This window comes from Homo sapiens, chromosome 10 (genome assembly GCF_000001405.40).
Source record: "Homo sapiens chromosome 10, GRCh38.p14 Primary Assembly".
Lineage (NCBI taxonomy): Eukaryota > Metazoa > Chordata > Mammalia > Primates > Hominidae > Homo > Homo sapiens.
The window spans coordinates 120,570,571-120,588,139 of record NC_000010.11 but is presented as its reverse complement, the minus strand read 5'-3'; the positions used below and the strand labels follow the sequence as shown (position 1 = coordinate 120,588,139).

The 17,569-nt window shown below is 44.8% G+C and overlaps 1 protein-coding gene across 15 annotated transcripts in view, besides 1 other annotated feature; it reads right to left on the bottom strand.

The window, feature by feature from the left end:
- Nucleotides 1–17,569, bottom strand: part of PLPP4 (phospholipid phosphatase 4) — a 135,112-nt gene that overhangs the window by 3,926 nt on the left and 113,617 nt on the right. For 11 of the 15 annotated variants that reach the window (NR_134516.1, XM_011539444.4, NM_001030059.3 and 8 more), the window contains one exon: nucleotides 12,839–13,009. The exons of 2 other annotated variants lie outside the window; for them this stretch is intronic. Coding sequence is in view for 12 of the 13 variants with exons in the window: in XM_011539444.4 (XP_011537746.1) it covers nucleotides 12,839–13,009 (171 nt within the window). In the remaining variant the exon portion in view is untranslated. Of the gene's footprint in view, nucleotides 1–696; nucleotides 882–7,155; nucleotides 7,243–12,838; nucleotides 13,010–17,569 lie in introns of those variants that run through there. 2 more of the 15 variants (XM_006717686.5, XM_017015823.2) reach the window with 2 other exon arrangements.
- Nucleotides 12,514–13,013: an enhancer, noted in NCBI's record as "H3K4me1 hESC enhancer chr10:122334639-122335138 (GRCh37/hg19 assembly coordinates)". NCBI's record gives its function as "activates a minimal SCP1, AML or CMV promoter by ChIP-STARR-seq in naive H9 embryonic stem cells {active_cell/tissue: H9 hESC(naive)}" and the evidence as "EXISTENCE:reporter gene assay evidence [ECO:0000049][PMID:30033119]".

Below are 17,569 nucleotides of genomic sequence, written 5' to 3'. Positions count from 1 at the left end.
ACTCTTGTTGAACCGTACAGACTTCCCATAGGCAGGCAGGATCAGCCCCATTTTCCCCAAAAGAATTGGGCTTGAACCCTGGAGTCCTGATCCTGCAGTTGCACTGGTCCGTGATGCTGTGTCCACACCCTGGCGGGTTCATTCCAGGCTTGATAACCACATGACTGTCTGAGGTCCCAGCCTTCAGGATGCAGCAGGCCCCACGGGCTGAAGGGTATGTCCATCTGCATTCAGGTAGGAGGCAATGGTTTTCCTGAAGGATCAGTGCTCAGGGTGGCAAGTTTCCCAACGCTTCCCAGTAAGCAACGCACTATATAAAGACTTCAGTTTAAGTCACAAACTAATGTCCCTGCATCTCCTGTAGGTGACATTTTGAGTGGTCATTAAAGAAATGTATCTTTCAAGAAAACAAGCTGCTCAATGCTTAGAAACGTGCATTGCACCTATCAGTCTTTTTGTGATCCTGTTATAGGTATCCTGGTTCTATCTAGATCTAACGGGATAATTTTTGAGGACGGGGACAATATTTTCATATTTCAGTATCTTTCATAGAATTGCTTCTACTTTCAGTTTCTATGAAGCTAATAGTTAAACATGAAAAGTTCTATAATGAATAGCTTTATCTTCTTTAAAACAAATTTAGTAATTTCATGCATGTAATTTTATTAATCCACAATAGCAAAGCAGGAAAAGAAGTACAAATAAAAGAAAAGCTCTTTTATTTTAGACATGTCCGTGATGGCAGCATAAGTTTCAGTGCATGTAGACCAGGGGCCCAGTACGCTGCTCTGGAACTGGACTTGGGACACAGCAGCTGGTGATGTTCTCTCAAGAGCAAATAGGCGCAGCCATTCTCCTGCTTGGCTGACTCCTTCCCACTGCTGTAACAGAACAGCCAAGCCCCTGTGTCATTCAAGGCTGCATCCCTGGCCCTGCCAACCATCCCAGCCATTTCCCCTTCACTCCTCCTACCGAAGCCATGGTCTTCCCTTTAGTTCCTCAAATACATGTGCTGCTTCTCCTCTTGGGGCTCCACATGTGCTGTTCCGATCCTGGATTCCCAGGAATCCCTTCTCCTCATGCCTTCCCCTAATCAATTTCTATTAATATTTCAGGGCTCGATATCATTTCTAGTCATATTTCAGGGCTCAATGTCATTTCTATTCATATTTCAGAGCTCAATGTCATTTCTATTCATATTTCTGAGCTCAATGTCATTTCTATTCATATTTCAGAGCTCAACATCATTGTGCAACATAGCCTCATCTGACCTCCAGACTAGACCAAGTCTCCCAGTTACACATGTTAATAGTCCCTCCCCACTCCCTGTGCAATTAGAGTGGCGAACAATGACAAATTGTGCGATTGTTTAATGTTTAATGCTGGACTCAAAACTCTATTAGGGTTGGCTGTTGATTCCTTCAGCACCTTGGCCAACATCTTGCTCACAGCATAATTATGTTTGTTGAGGGAAATGGATACATAGTAACTCAGGGTTAGGTCGGGTTGCTGTCCTGTGTGTTTTTGGGCATGCCCCTTTCCCATTCTGGTCCTCCTGATGACCTCATCAGTAACATATTAGCATGGAACCACAAGTACAAGGTGGCTAAGAGGCCTTGTTATGTAAGTGTTCCAGGAATGTGATCCTGAGTCAGCCTACTGAGGCCACACATTGAGATTATTTGGAGACTCTACCAAGGTGCATTTAGAAAATAGGTCATATCCCCTAGCACTTTGTGAGACCAAGGAGGGCGAACTGACTGAGCTCAGGAGTTTGAGACCAGCCTGGGCAACACGGTGAAACCCTGTCTCTACTAAAACTACAAAAAAAAAAAAAAAATAGCCAGGTGTGTTGGCATGTGCCTTAATCTCAGCTACTCTGGAGGCTGAGGAAGGAGAATTGCTTGAACCCGGGAGGTGGAGGTTGCAGTGAGCCAAGATCGTACCACTGCGCTCCAGCCCAGGCAACAGAGCAAGTCTCCATCTCTTTAAAAAAAAAAAAAAGAAAAAAAGAAAAAGAAAAGAGAAAAAAATAGGTCATATCTTCTCTTTGGTTCAGATAAAATATCAGTTAGAAACAAAAGTCATTCTAACTAGTCAATGGGAGAGACCAAATAATTGTCACTGCTTTCTCCCCATACGAGTTCAAACTTCAACAACTGATGAATACAGTGTGACTGAGCAGTAGCTGTCTGGGAGAAAGGCAAGGAATACAGGTTCGTGTCTGCTCAGACTTGGTGAGCAGCCATCAGGGTAGCGGGGGGATTGGAGGACAGCAGGGAAAGCAAGAGGCATTCCCAAGAATGAAGAAGAAAAGGAGGCAGCAGATCCATTCCCAAGAGAAGAACTGTTGGCCATTTGGAGGCTCCTGGGGCTGCAGTAAGGTAACCACCACTTATCCTCACCCCCGATCCAAGAATCTTCCACGCTGAGAAATCCTAAGGCTAAGACATTGCAGGCCCTACCAGGGCAAGTTGCTTTGCCTCTCTGAGTTTCCTTCTCTCTCAAATGTGGATCTCAGTATCCGCCTCATTAAGTTGTGATGATAATTTAATAATATATTACTTCTAATGATTATTTCATGGAGCATGCCAAAATAGGACATAAAAATAGTATCCATCCTTGTTATCCTTTTGCCATTCCTCTCACATTCCACTTCAGAGCTGCCGGAGGCTTTCTCATTCTGCCCCATCCTTCTCCTCACACAGCAACTCAGAAGCTTACAGATCTCACCTCTCTGGCATGGCTACATTTTCATAGCATCGTAAATAAACTTCTAAGGAACTTAAAAACACGTTTGTCACCCAAGAAATTGTAAAGCAATATGTACCGTGAATTCTGGAGCAGGGCCACAGGGTGTAATTAACGTGATTAAATGAAGTTGCTTAAATGAAGAATCTCTTCACTAGCTTATGGCCACCAGCCTATAAAATGTGTCAGGCCTTTTACTAGTTCAAGGTCTTAGAGTTGCACTATTGTTTTGTTTTTCCTCTAACCCCAGGAAACAGTCCCATGAGGTATTTCTATTAGCATCTAAAACGATCCACAACATCTGCAGTTGAGCCACTGACTAAACAGACCAAAGAGCAAAACCTACAAATAACACCATTCAACATTCTATTTTCTGAAGCAGCATTTCATTAGGTGGATCATTGACCAAAAGACATCAAACCATTCCAAGAATGTTTCCCAGATTTACTGACATAGCAGCATGCATGGAAATGACAATTCCTGCCAATTCTGTTTCCCATTTAATGGAATGAGTGAAAAGTGATATCACAGGTGCTATGGGAGTCTATGAGAAGTAACAAGGGCAATGAAAGGTCTATCCAAGCTGCTTCTCAGCAAAGTCATTTTGGGGCTGTGTTTATTACAAAGGTGGCGAACAAGATCCAAACAATAACTTACTTTATGAAGGAGCTTGTCATCAATTGCCTCAAGTGGGCTATTGCTATTTTGATAAAATCACATTTGTATCCTCTTGATAGACAGGCAAGCAGGGGACAAGAAAGCCCTTATTGGGGGAAAAACACTTGGGATTAACTTTGCCCCAAATCAACTAGAAGTCTCAAAAGGGAAATAAATGGATCTCAGTGTCTTTGGAATACAAAATACTTCTGTCTCCTTACGTAGCACTGATGCCATTCATTCATACACATGCACTGCATACGTATCAGGGGTCGGGCATGATGGCCAAGCCTAGGACACAGGCTGAACGAATGGGACATGTCCCTGCTGTCCCAGAGTTTCCAGCAAAGGGGCAAGACAGACACTAAACAATGACAGCCGTATCAGCAATTTGCAGCTATGGTAAGCACCATGAAGGAAACGTGTGAGGGTCTGTGAGCTCGCCCAGCACAGAGATCTGGGCTATTCTGGAGCAGAGGTTTTGCTGAGGACATGACCCTCAGGCTAAGACCTGAAGGATGAGCAAGAGTTAACCGGGAGAGGTTGAGAAGTAGAGGAAAAGAGGGCACTGGTGGTTTTCCAGGCAGAGAGAAGGGTATGTGAGAAGGTGCTGATGACAAAGGAGGCTTGGTAAATCTGAGAAACTGAAGATAGACCCATCTTTTAAGAAAGGGGTAGTGTCTTTGTAAGACTACAGGACACAAATTGACCAGTCATCTGGTATGGGCTGGAGCAGAATGTTTTCCATGTCCCTTTGTGGCTCTGTGGAGCCCTCAGCATGGACCAGGGGACCTGCTCTCTCTCTGGCCTGCCATCTATGCACTCTGTGGCCTCACACCTACCACCAGTGGTGTTTCCTGTTTCTGAATCTATCTCCCCAACTACATGTCATTACCTAGGACTCTGGGATGTTTCATTCCTATTTATTTCCCAGAGCTCAGCCGACTTTTATTCAGTAAATGGGGAACTGACATGAGCTGAACAACATCTACAAGAGGCACTAAAGAATCAACATCACCAGCCACAAATGGCCACACATTGTATGGTTCTATTTATATGCAATGTGCAGAATAGGCAAACCCATAGAGATAAAAAGTAGATCAGTGGTTGCCAGAGCCTGAGGCACAGAGAAATGAGAAGCGATTGCTGAGAGATAAGGGTTTCTTTGGGGTGATGAAAATGTTCTAGAATTAGATAGTGGTAATGGTTGCACAACTCTGGATATATAAAAATGTTTCTGTACTTTAAAAGGGAGAATTTTATAATTGAGAATTATAAAGAAAGCTGTTCTTTAAAAAGAGAGGAGAGAATTGACACCAGATGAGCCAGATAAACTCCAATGGTAGTGGAAAGAGTGACTTTCAATCAGGCAGCCTGGATCTGAATCCTTACCTATAACATTGGCAAAACCCTGCCCTCTTGCCATGAGGTCAAAGGACAGGAAGGACCTTATGAGTTCTGCCATACTGAGGTGCCAGGCTGCCCTCATCTGTTGTGGCACAAACAAGCAGAAAGGCTTCTGAAGATGTGCTGTCAGGTCCTCCAGAAGATCATCCCTTCTGTCACCAAGGCAGCCTCCAACATCACTAAGCTAGCTTGACTTGGGACCTTGTATGCCTTGGGCTCCATGACCCAAGGTACTAGGGCAAAAGTCAGCTCTGGCAAACTCAACAAGTGCATGTGATTTTTTTGTTGTTCTTTTTATTCTTTCCAGTGATTCTGCTACTTGTGAAGCTTCATGTTTCTGTGACTTTGAGTTTCTACAAAAGAGCTTACCTAGCAGGAAGTATGCAAAATAGCCCTGGTACAGTATAAGCTGAGAGGACAGCAGCTATGTCCATCTTACTCAGTACTGAGCCCAGTGGAGAACACGCCGGGTACACAGACACAATGACAAGAAGAAAGGAGAGAAGGAAGGAAGGAAGGAAGGGAGGGAGGGAGGGAGGGAGGGAGGGAGGAAGGGAGGGAGGGAGGGAGGGAATATTTACAGTATAACCTTTTGTTTATTTTTAAAAGGAAAGAACTTGTAGAGAATAAGTTACTAGTAAAACCAGCCCAAAGAAAAAATGATATTAGTAAGAAAGGAACATGATTAAGTCAAACTCATTTATTTATTCAGCACATATGTATTGAAGACTGTTATAAATTTAATTGTGTCCTTTTGAAAGATATGCTGAAGTCCTAGTCCCTAGGACCTCAGAATGTGACCTTATTTAGAAATAGGGTTTTACAGGAGTAATCAAGTTAAAATATGATAATCAGGGTGGGCCCTAATGCAATATGACTGGTGTCCTTATAAAGAGGGGAAATTTGGACACAGAGACAGACACCCAAAGAGGGAAGCTGATGTGAGGACACACAGAGAAAACACCATGGGAAGAGAGAGGCAGAGACTGGAATTATGCTGCCATCAGCAAAGGCACATCTGGGGCTACTAGAAGCTGGAAGAGGCAGAGAAGGATCCTCCCCTTACTGATTTCAGAGAGAGGGTGGCTTTGCCAACACTTTGATTTCAGACTTCCAGCCTCCAGAACGGTGAGACAATATCTTTCTGTTGTTCTAAGCCACCCAGTTTTTGGTACTTTGCTATGGCAGCCGTAGGACCCTGATACAAGTACCTACTATGTGCCATGCCAACAACAGAGACCTAAATCCCTGCTCACGTGGATATTATATTCTAGTGCAGACGCCAGCAAACTAAGTGAACACGTTCCTTTACATATTGTCTATAGCCACTTCTGTGCACTACGGCCAAACTGAATAGGTGCAACAAAGATCTCATGGCCACATACAGCCTAAGATATTGATATCTGACCCTTTACAAAGTTTGCCAACCCCTGTTCTGGTGGTTAGAGACAGATAATAATCAATACATAATAAATGACTTCATTTGTCAGAAGGTGGTAAATGCGCAAGGGGAGAGGGACATGGCATGTGGGGAAGGGGCTGCAATTCAAGTGGAGTGGGCATCACGAGACGGAGAAGGTGACACTTGAGCCCAGTTTAGGAGGGAGAGGAGAACAAGCCACGCCCACATCTGAAGAAGAGCATTCCAGGCACAAGGTGGAGCCTGTGGAAAGGCTCTGAGGTGGGATGGGACGGGCCTGTTCAAGGAGTAGCAAGAAGCTCAAGCGATGCAATCATGTGAACGAGGAGGACAAGTAGCTTGAACATAGCATCAAAGAAGTACGGAGGGAGCAGATCTTATGGACCATGGCAGGACACAGGCTGTGATGCTGAGTGAAATGAGAATCACTGGAGGATTTTTGCAAAAGTGACATGTGCTAACGCAGGCTCTAAAGGCACATTCCAAATGCAGTTGAGGGCCAAAGAAGGAAGGAGGGAGCCAGGCTGAGAGGCTTCTGCAATGATTCAGGCAACAACTGAGGATCACTAGACCAGAGTGGGAAGGAAAAGTTGGAGTCTATAAATATGCTGAGCAGGAGGAACCACAGAACACCACAGAAAGCTGAGAAGAGACAGGTTCCCTTGAGTAAAACAAAGGAAGGATGCCAGTGAGACTTGGGAGCAATCAACGTCCATCTTCCCTGGGAATTACATCACGGGGAAACACCAGGGCTATCCTGGAGGCAGGAAGAGGGCAGAAGTCCTGACTGAGAATGCCTCTCTTGAGGCTGAAAGCAGGATATGCAGTGGACTTTGACCGGAGGGAGGGGTGAGCCAGGGGCTGAGGCTTCTTACGCTCTCCTAGGCACCAACACAGAGGCGGGTGGACTTAGATGGGCAGTCAAGGTTCAGAGGTTCCCAGACAGAGGCGGGGGTTGGCAGCCGATGGTAAATGTGACTGTGGGCCCTGCCATACACAGCAGCCAACTGTGGAGGGAAAATGAGGTGACATCAATTCACTTGGGCTGAGGATATTAGAGGGAGAATTTCAGTGTTTTTGTTCTACCCAGGGCTGGCAGGTTTTTGGCAGAAACAATCATATTGTTCCAAGGGATCTTTTTCAAGTCACTTCATTTAGAAAATCTACAGATTGCTTCTGACAGCACAAGGGAGGCCTGCTTATAACAGTGTATGTCCCTCAGCCGTGTGTGTGTGTGTGTGTGTGTGTGTGTGTGTGTGTGTAAGAGACAGAGGCAGACAGAGAGATGGAGACAGAGACAGAGGGGAGGGAAGGGGAAGGTGTTACTCAGCGTAAGGCTTACATGACATAGCTGGATTTACACCCCTCCCTGTTTATCTTTAAGAAATGAGACCCCTGTGGTAAAAAGTTCCCTTTGTAACTGGACTACCTGAAACTGGTTAAAACCAAGACAGCTGACAGAACAACTTCAAGAAGACCTCAGGCTTCATTATCATCTAATTTCCATGCTAAATGACACTCTCACTAGCACCATGACAGTTGACAATTGCCATGACAACAATTGGAAGAAGCCATAAAAGGAAGGCAGCACTCTGGTTCCCAGGAGTTCACCATCCATTTCCAGAAAAAGATCCGATTATTCCTCCCCTAGATTTTACTACCTGACCTCTTCATTAGAGAAACCCTATATTTTAATCCCTTCACTGCTCACTAGCTGAGAAGTTCATCTGAGAGCTGTGTTCCCACTTCTCCATTCTTTCTTTCCTTTTTTTTTTTTTTTTTTTTTTTTGAGAGTCTCGCTCTGTCGCGCAGGCTGGAGTGCAGTGGCATGATCTCGGCTCGCTGCAAGCTCTGCCTCCCAGGTTCACGCCATTCTCCTGCCTCAGCCTCCCGAGTAGCTGGGACTACAGGTGCCCATCACCAAGTCTGGCTAATTTTTTTGTATTTTTTTTTTTTTTTTTAGTAGAGACGGGGTTTCACCATGTTAGCCAGGATGGTCTCTATCTCCTGACCTCGTGATCTGCCCGCCTCGGCCTCCCAAAGTGCTGGGATTACAGGCATGAGCCACCGCGCCCGGCCCCAACTTCTCCATTCTTTGGCCATGGAATAAAGCTTACTCTGCTTGATGCTCACTTTTGATTTCATGTAATGGCTCTGTCACATGGAACAGGGAAGGATCCCATCTTTGGGACTACTGGGTTTATCAGTAACAAAAGGAAGGAGAACTCAAGAGAGTCCTGTGAGTTGTAGAATGCCATCAGGCTTTGAAAAAAGGGTTTCTCCAAAGGGAATAGCTTCTGCCTGGGCTTCTTGAGGCCAGAAGTATTTTGTGGCACATGAAATAGTCCAGCACAATATCCAACTACCAAAACACCTGCATTTGCAGGGTCAGTAATCTCCTGAAGCTTGGTAACTATATTTAGTTCATTTCAAATCACAGACCCTTCACAGCCCAGTCTGGGAAAGCAGGCGAACGCAATAATGGCCATCTTGAAAACTTCAGCCCGGTTAGACAACTGTGTCTGTGAATGACCGAGACGCTTTCCAACCTTAGTCTGGGTGGGAACAAATGAATGTTTCATTCTTTGAGACCTGTTTCCCTAGATTACATCCAGAGGGGGATGTTCTTTCTTATAATGAAACACCACGCAGGCACCCAGGGCTGCTTAAAATGACCTATGATTAGAGGAACAAGTGTTTAAAATGTTACCTCCAAACCTAAAGTCACAAGAGGAGAGGCTGGTTTCAGGTGCAGGGACTTGAGGGGTCAGGGGAGCTCATTATTAAGTCCAGTGATGGAGCAAACACCACATTCCTGCCACTAGTAGTTGTAACCCTCCATTGACAAGAAATCGTAATCACATAAGAGCGTGAATAGAGGCAGGAGTCAGTTTAATGACATGCTCTGCTCTTTCTCTGCATTTATTTTCTCTAGTATGGGGATTCCACAAGTTTGAGCGCTGCTAAACACATTGTTAATCACAAAGATAAGCCTGTTTGAGAGGGCACTGGGCTTTGTAGTTAGCATCATCTGTGAAACTCTCCAGCTTCCAGTTGACCTGCAAGCCAGAATGTCACAAGGACACAGGCCACATCAGCCACACAGAGATTTAGTATTGATCCCACCGGTTTTGTGTCTGGGGAAGTTCTGCTAAATGTTTCATGTCTCCTTCCCTATGCCATGGCCTGTGCCTCTGTATTTTCGTCACTTAATAAAACAATAGATTTGTATATTTGGAGTGGGCTGGGGAGGCAGAAAAGACCAGGGAGTGTCAATAGCAGAAAATAACCATGATAATGGAGAGAGAGAGTCATTAGAGATTATAGACTATTTATTGGATATGAATGTGTAATCGAGTAATTGGATGTATTTCCACATTAGGCACAGTTGCTTAAATCAAAATTGAAATGGAGTCATAAAATCTCACAACATGAATGCTGTTAACTAAAGTCTATAATGAGGGGGACTTGAGTTTTGCTGATGCTAATGGGGCTCCATGTGAATTCTCACCATGATGGATGGCCCCCGCCCACAGTCACTGGGCAGCTCAGTTCACCAAAGGAAAACAAGTTATTTATCTTAATCAGGCATCCTGCCTGAAACATCCACCTACACTGCAGTTGAAGACCTCACTCTGCATCCCTCCTCCCAGTGGGAAACCTTTGAGGTCTCCTTGATTTCTCCCTTAATAATTGAGTATTGAATGAACAAAACTTCCCACTCCCAGAACATTGCTGCTTCTTAACGTGTAACATGGAAAAGAAATATGGAGCTGGGGTATGATGTAGAACAGGGGTTCTCAACCTGGGCAGTATTGACATTTGGGGCTGCATAACTCCTTGTTAGTGGGCGAGGGGTCTTGTGATTGTAGGACATTTAGTAGCATCCCTAGTCTCTAACCCTCCACCCATTGGATGGCAGTAGTAGCACCTACCCCTCAAAGTTGTGACAACCAAGAAGATGTCTAGAGACATTGCTAAATGTCCCCTGAGAGATTGAAAACAACTGGTGTGGACAGCGGCAGATAGCCTCATGAAGGGGAACTCAGGTAAAATGAGCCTGACTCAGAGCCCTTTAGAGCATCCAAGGGAAGTTGTGTTCCTCTCCTGGCTGACTCCAAGGGTATAAGTTGAACACATAATGGCAGAGCTGAACTGGTCCTTAGGCTATATCAATAACCTGTACCAAGAGATGCACATTCAGTTTGGGCTGCAGAAGTCTACCATGACGCAGTTTTTGTTTGATTCCCAAATATGGTTCTAACCATCACTGAACATAAATTCTCTTGCTTTGCTTTCCCAACAGCCCACACAGGATGAATATTCTCCCTTGACTGCTCATAGTTCCTTTCTGTGCCTGTTGGATAGTACGGTTTCAAAGCCCCAGTTGCCAACAGGCCTTGGGTACACCAGCTGCAGCATAAATTCACCATTCCCTAAAGACAAGAGCTGTGATTCCACATTCCTTTACTCTGGCCATGTTACACTACCACAGCTAGGAAATGAGGAACAAAACAGGGTAGGGCCAGAGAGTGCTGAAGACAGGCCAGCCTCACATCCTAGGTTGTTAGTACTATGCAAAGGCTCTTATTGACTCCAAGATAAAGGAAAAATTGATTCAATTCTGAAACCCCCAATCATTCCCCGAATCCAAAGTGGTTGAATAAAAGTGAAAACCTGGCATTCATAGCTTACAAATAAATCATGTTCCAAAAAAAAAGTCTGTCTCCAAGTCAGTTGTTTGGGAAACACAATGCATCCTTCCTTAGAAAAAATGTACTAAGCAACAATGATACCACTTTGCATGTGTGTAGTAAATTTCCATTTACAAAGAACATTTGGATCCATTATTTCATTCAATCTATGAAAAGCTCTGTGAAATATTAGGGATAGTTCCTGTGCTCAAAGAGGAAACTGGCTCACAAGGGATCAATGAGAAGCAGTCCATAAAAGGCCATTTGGCCCGTAATATTCTTCATGGGGAAATGCCCTAACTCACATAGGTGGGAAACAATTCTGCGGGAACATATTCCCAGTTCCAATGGGGGGCTGTGCCTCTGTTTTTGTTGGCCCAGTGACTCTGTCCATCCTTCCATCTCATGATGCGGCTTCTTATCATCCAGAATTTCATCCAAGTCATTGATAAAAACAGAACAAGGGCAGGTTCAGACCTGTGACCCTCTTCTGACCTCCCCCATCAGGAGGGCCTCAGACCTTAGTAGCACTTGATGCTTGCTGCATCCACCTGTCCAAACCATGTCAGCATCTCTTTCCCTATACCCTTCATCCTCCAGCCCAAAGCTCCTGCTGGGGTCACAGGACACCCAGAGCATGAGCTCCAGGAGGATACGGGGTAGGGATGAGACCAGGAAGGAACAGGAGAAGCTGTGTAGTGCTAGAAGGAGCACAAGGTCTCCAGAGAAGATGAGGAAGGAGGGGCTCTCAGCTAGGAGTTCCCCTCAACCCTGTCCCCATCCATTGCCTCATTACCACTGCAACAAACCCCCGGAAAAGGTAGGAAGAGGGCAGTCCTGCAAGGCAGCTGGCTGCAAAGACAGAGAGAGGAAGGAGGTGAACAATGCCCAGCAACAGTCGGAAAACAAGAAAGGGAGAGGAGGTTTGGGTCACAGACCTATCATGGAAGCCCATTCATTCAAAGAAGCTGGATTCAGGCACACTTTCTTTCCTTTGTTTGGTTAAAATTGACACATATGGTGGAGCTCTTTACCAGTGTTTCTTAGACTTCATCAGCAATGACAGGCTTGCTTATTATCCAGGAAGATTCTAGGCCACTGCTCCAGATGCACCCCTAGAGAGTCCAATTTCTAGCTCAGGGCAGCTTGATCAAGGTGATCCAAGGATTGCCCTTGGGAAACCCTTCCCTAGACCCCATGCTTCCTGGAGGCCACACCTCCCATGGACATCACCTCCGTCTCAGCTCTCTGTGTGCTCTGGCAGGTGGTGGTTGTCTTTCAGACAGACTGTGAGCTGCAGTTTGTCTGCAGAAGGACATGGCATGGTTTAGTTATATTTCAGGAACAAGCCCCTCCCTTGTTTTGTGTTATTTTGATTTTTAACAAATACCCCAGGACTGATATATGTATATATATAGGCAAACCTCACCCCAGGCTTGCAGCTGCTGCTTGGAGCATTACTGGAATGAATCCCTGGCTAGATATACCTTTCGGAAGAGCATCCATGGTGACAAATACGTCCTTGTAGGCTGGATTTGATAAGCAAAGGAAGCCAAAAACCACTTGGCACCAACTCTGAGGACTGAGGCAAGTGATCCAGCAGGAAAATCACATTTGGGTCTCAGGCCAAGGGTGACACTAAACCAAAGGGCCTGACATTCTGGCAGGACTCAAGCAGTCTCCTGGAGCATGAAGGAGGAAGAAGAGCTCCAATTCTTTCCCCAGGAAGGCCAGACCTCACTTGAACCAGCATATTTGCTTCAAAATTTTATCCGCTCTGTCATTTCAGCCTCCTCTGGTTTTGGACAATGGGCACTTAGCTCCCCACAATTGGTGCATTTCTACACCCATCCCTGGAGGAGAGGGGCAACCACAGTGAGGACTAGTCAGGCCCTGGGCAGGGACTCACCTTGCCAGTGATGCTTGTAGTCGCACATGCGGGACAGGGCAATCATCATGGCGCAGTACAAGGGCAGGATGGCAGCACAGAGCCGCCAGCTCTTTCCCCGCCCACTCTCGGTGAAGCAGTGCAGCTTGCCCGCCAAGTAGAACGTCGTGAAGCCAAGGCCCGAAAAGGCAACTGCCAAACAGAAACAGCAGGTGTTACTCTAGCAGGTGGTGAGTGGCAGGGACTCAGTGCGTGCTGGGCATTCCGTCTGCCGTCTTGCACACCCCCAAGGCCAAGGCCATGTTGGCACCAGGCACTATCTAGGCAATCTGTGCTCCTGCTAGCACCATGCTGCTATGAAACTTTCAACCATAAGAATAATCTTCCAGGGTTATATGTGATCAAAACCTATTTTATTTCATCCATTCATTCAATAGTTACTTCAGGAGTCTCCACTCTGTGCTAGACAGGCACTGCACTAGATGTGGGGAATAAAAAGATGCATCAGATACTATCTCTGGAGTCAAGAGGCTCATGGTCTAGTTGAAGGACATACCATGCTAAGAGATAATTTTAATATAATGTGATACATTCTATAAGAAACAAGTACATACAGAGCAAAGGACTGTGAGAACTGCTTAGATCTGAAGGGCATGGGAAAGTAAAGGGGCTAGGATCAGCCCCAGGTTTTTGGCTTGGGAGACTGAGTGTACAATGGTGGCATTCAGTAAGATGGGACCAGCAAATGCTACAAAAGAGTGAGTTTGATGGAGAAGTCAGCGATGACAAATACCTTGTTTTCTGTCCGAAATAATGGTTATTGTTTTTTCTGAATTGCAAAGACAACTCATGGCTGTGCTAAATCCATTGTCGAAAGTGTAGAGGTCTGAGTGTAGCATGTATAAGCCCCAAGCTTTACATCCAAGCAGGTATAAAACATAGTTGGGAGCTCAGTGAGATTTAAGTTGGGAAGCGCTTACAACAATGGTCCTCAACCCTGGCTATACAGAGTCACCTCTAATACCTGGGAAGCTTTAAAAAATACTGATACCCAGGTTCCATTGCCAGCCATTCTGTTTGTAGTGGTCTGGAGGGAGCTGAGAGAGAGAGAGAGAGAGAGAGAGAGAGAGAGAGAGAGAGAGAGAGAGAGAGAGTGTGTGTGTGTGTGTGTGTGTGTGTGTGTGTGTGTGTGTACTCCCCAGATGATTCTAATGGTGGCCACAACTAAGCTTAGAGGCTTTTATTGAAGGCAGGTGTTACAGCTCCCCATCCCTCTGGACACCAGTCTAATCCAAACTTTCTTCTTGATTAGAAAGTACTTCTGAGGGGATGGAGCTCCTAGGTAACCAGCCCACACAGTGACTTGGCAAAACGAGTATTATAAATACTCTCAATGCCAATACACCAGCAACTTTAAGAGACTGCCCAAAGCCCTGAGCCACGGTCTGGGCATCATGCAGGCATTTGTGACAAATGCAGATCCTCAGGTCCAACCCACACCTGCTGAGTTAGAATCTGTATTTCACAACATCCACCAGCGATCTGTGCACACACTGCACTTGGAGAAGCCTTGGCCTAAAATACATTCATTGTCTTTATAAGAGACCTTGGAAAGTCCATCTTAAGAAAATAATATAAAATGTAAGGGAAATCTAGAAGATTTTCTGCTCAAAGTTATTGATAAATATTGAAAAACTGAAAATGATCAGTACAGAAGAATAGATAACCAAGCTGTGACATTTCCTTGTAATGGACTATGATGCAACCATGAAAACCACATGATTATGTAACAATATAGACAATACTTAGGATGCATGCTAAGTGAAACAAGTAGGACCCTAAACTGTAAGTTCAAGATAATCATTACTATAGTACCAAACAGTGAACAACCTGCAGCTTTTCCAAATTATCTCTGATAAGAATGTGCCTTCTTAAAAGCGATCTCGGTTACAAACACAAGATTATACCAAAGTAGAACTTTTTTCAGCAACCAAATTAAACAAAGTTACAGTGGTTTAAAAAAAAATTTTAATGGAATATTAAACCAGGTTTATCGTAGGTATAAAGATGCAGCAAAAGAAAGTAAATCTAAATGTGAGTGGTGTGTGCATTGAAACACTTCTGCGTAATGATTAGCACCCTCCCCCTCCTCACAGTGTGTAAAATGCTTGTTTTCTTTGAGAAGAGAGTAGCAAGTTCTATGGCTAGAGTCAGAAAACATGTCTTGGACAGCCTTCCTGGTTTTTTGTTGTTGTTTTTTCTCCTCCCCGTTGAACTTGAACCTGAGCCTTGATGATTTAGAGTCCTAGGATTTCAGAGTTAGGTCTGATGAATAACATCAGAGCCGTGCCAATAGATATTAAGTATTCTGCTTAAAGTAAAAATATGTGAGAAGAAACTGCATGGCCCAGCCCTGCTCTAGATACTGTGGTGGGAGGTTATTAAGTGGTTTACATGATGTTCCAAAGTGGCCCTATCTGGCCACCAACGTAGCAAGCACAACGACTTCTTAAATTCTATCCTCATCCCCTTTGCTCTGTTCCTTCTATTCATTTACATTCTTCCTTGAGGTATTCCAGTGGGAGAGGAGGCTGGAGAGTTGGATCCCATTGGTATTGATCCCATCCTGAGCTCCTTCAGGAGGAATAATGGACTTTATTCAAATCAGGTGGCTTTGCAAGTTTATCCACCTAATTACACTAAATGCAGGGAAACACAAAAAAAACTGCCCTGGGGCTTTGTATGGTTTTGGATGAAAGTCTCCAAGATCTGAATCAGGGGAGAGGCAGCCTTGGGTGTTGCCAAACTGGCATCTCTTAGGGAAACAAACAAACAAACAAATCAATGAACATAGGGCAGCTGTTGAGCAGGAATTTTTATGTGTCCCCATAAAAAATGACTTGGAGACTTTAAGACATATAAGTCATCAGCCCAAGCAACCAATACTGCCTACAGCACCTCCGGGCACATCCAGGGCATGGAGAAGGGGAAGGGCTGTGGAAACCCTCCACTGTTGGGCAAATGGTTCGAGGTGAGATCCTCAGCATCCGCCTGATTTCTCTGTCTCAGGAACTTGTATTTGGCCAGCATTGGCACCCCAGGCTCTAACTCATTCTTTGAAGGGTAGGTAAAATGTATTCTCTCCCACACGGCGGGAGCCAGGACCACCACTGTGACCCCTCCAAAATGTTGAAGCCTCTGCCTCTTTGAAAAAGAGGATGAATTCCAAGTCATCTTTATAGGCAATGTGCAAGGGCCTAGATCCTGTGGGCACCCAGCAGCAGCCAGTCTTCCTGCCCACACGCTACTGGGCCTTTGAATATTTTTTTTAAACTTCACTGTGTGCCCTTACTTTCCTAAGTTACACAATGAGGCTCCAATTTCATGCTAAACCTTATGCTTGTCACTTTCTTACTGATATTTATACTGTTATTGAACTAACATAATATCCTTTGACAAAGGACTTTTGAGGCCATTCCCTCTGGCCCAAGGGCATGTCTGAGCTATGGGAAGCCTTGGTTCTCTGCACTCCTGTTTTTCCAGTAACTACCTGAGGAAGAATGAGACTCTACCAACCCATACTGAATTAGTATGATTTCATAATTTTTCTGACACTCTTCCTGGCAGCTAAGGGGTTTGGGATCAAGGTGCAATCTCTCCCATGAGCCATCTCCCACCCAACTCTGAAATCCTAGGACTCTAAATCATCAAGGCTCAGATTCAAGTTCAACTGGGAGGAAAAAACAACAACAACAAAAAACCAGGAAGGCTGTCCAAGACATGTTTTCTGACTCTAGCCATAGGACTTGCTACTCTCTTCTCAAAGAAAACAAGCATTTTACACACTGTGAGGAGGGGGAGGGTGCTAGCATGGAACAAGTTAAATGACCTGCATTCCAAGTGAGTGTCTGTCCCCCACCCTACCTCCATCCTCCCTTTAAGCACAGTCCTAGCTTTCTGCTTGATTAAGAACTAAAACTGAGACAAGAGCATTCAAAGACTTAGGGCATTAAACATTTTTAAACATGGGGATTATAAGACAGGACAAATGTGCTCATATCCTGCTAACATTACCAACAACAGAAATATAAGTAGAAAACTCCTGAGCCAGTGGGATGAGAGGATATTCAGAGTCTACTTGTCCTGGACAAACTTGTTCATTTGCTCTCCAGAGTTGGAGACACACAGACCACACACACACACACACACACACACACACACACACACACGCCCCTTTACTACTGATGGGAAGGAAGTAAGCATAGTGACCTGTGGGAAGAGCATATGTCCCTCGCTTTCAAAGCCTTGTAGTAGGTTTTCTTTATTTGTAGCAGCTGATTGTTAATATTTATGTGTTGATCTGTCTGTGAGTAGGAAAGATGGTCTAAACTAGGAAGAAGACGAAAGATAATGACTTTTCACCCTGTTTCTGACACTTGGTGATGCTCACTGGCTGTTACGAATGAGGGTAGATAGGCAAAGCATTACAATAAAAGGAGCTGACATAGGCGGTAACACCAGGTCCATCCCATGAACAGGGCTATCTGCCTGCCTGGTGACACTGAAAAGGAATCACTAATTCTTCTCTCCAGCAACCCAGATGAGTTCAAAACTCTCCCTTTGTAAAGAAAGGTCTAGTCATTGCACTAGCTTAGGTGCAATGTTATAGTTTAACTTCATCCCCAGTTGACTCTTAAACCAAGCGGAAAATCTTTGGACCCTACTGATTACAAGAAACACAAAACTGGCACC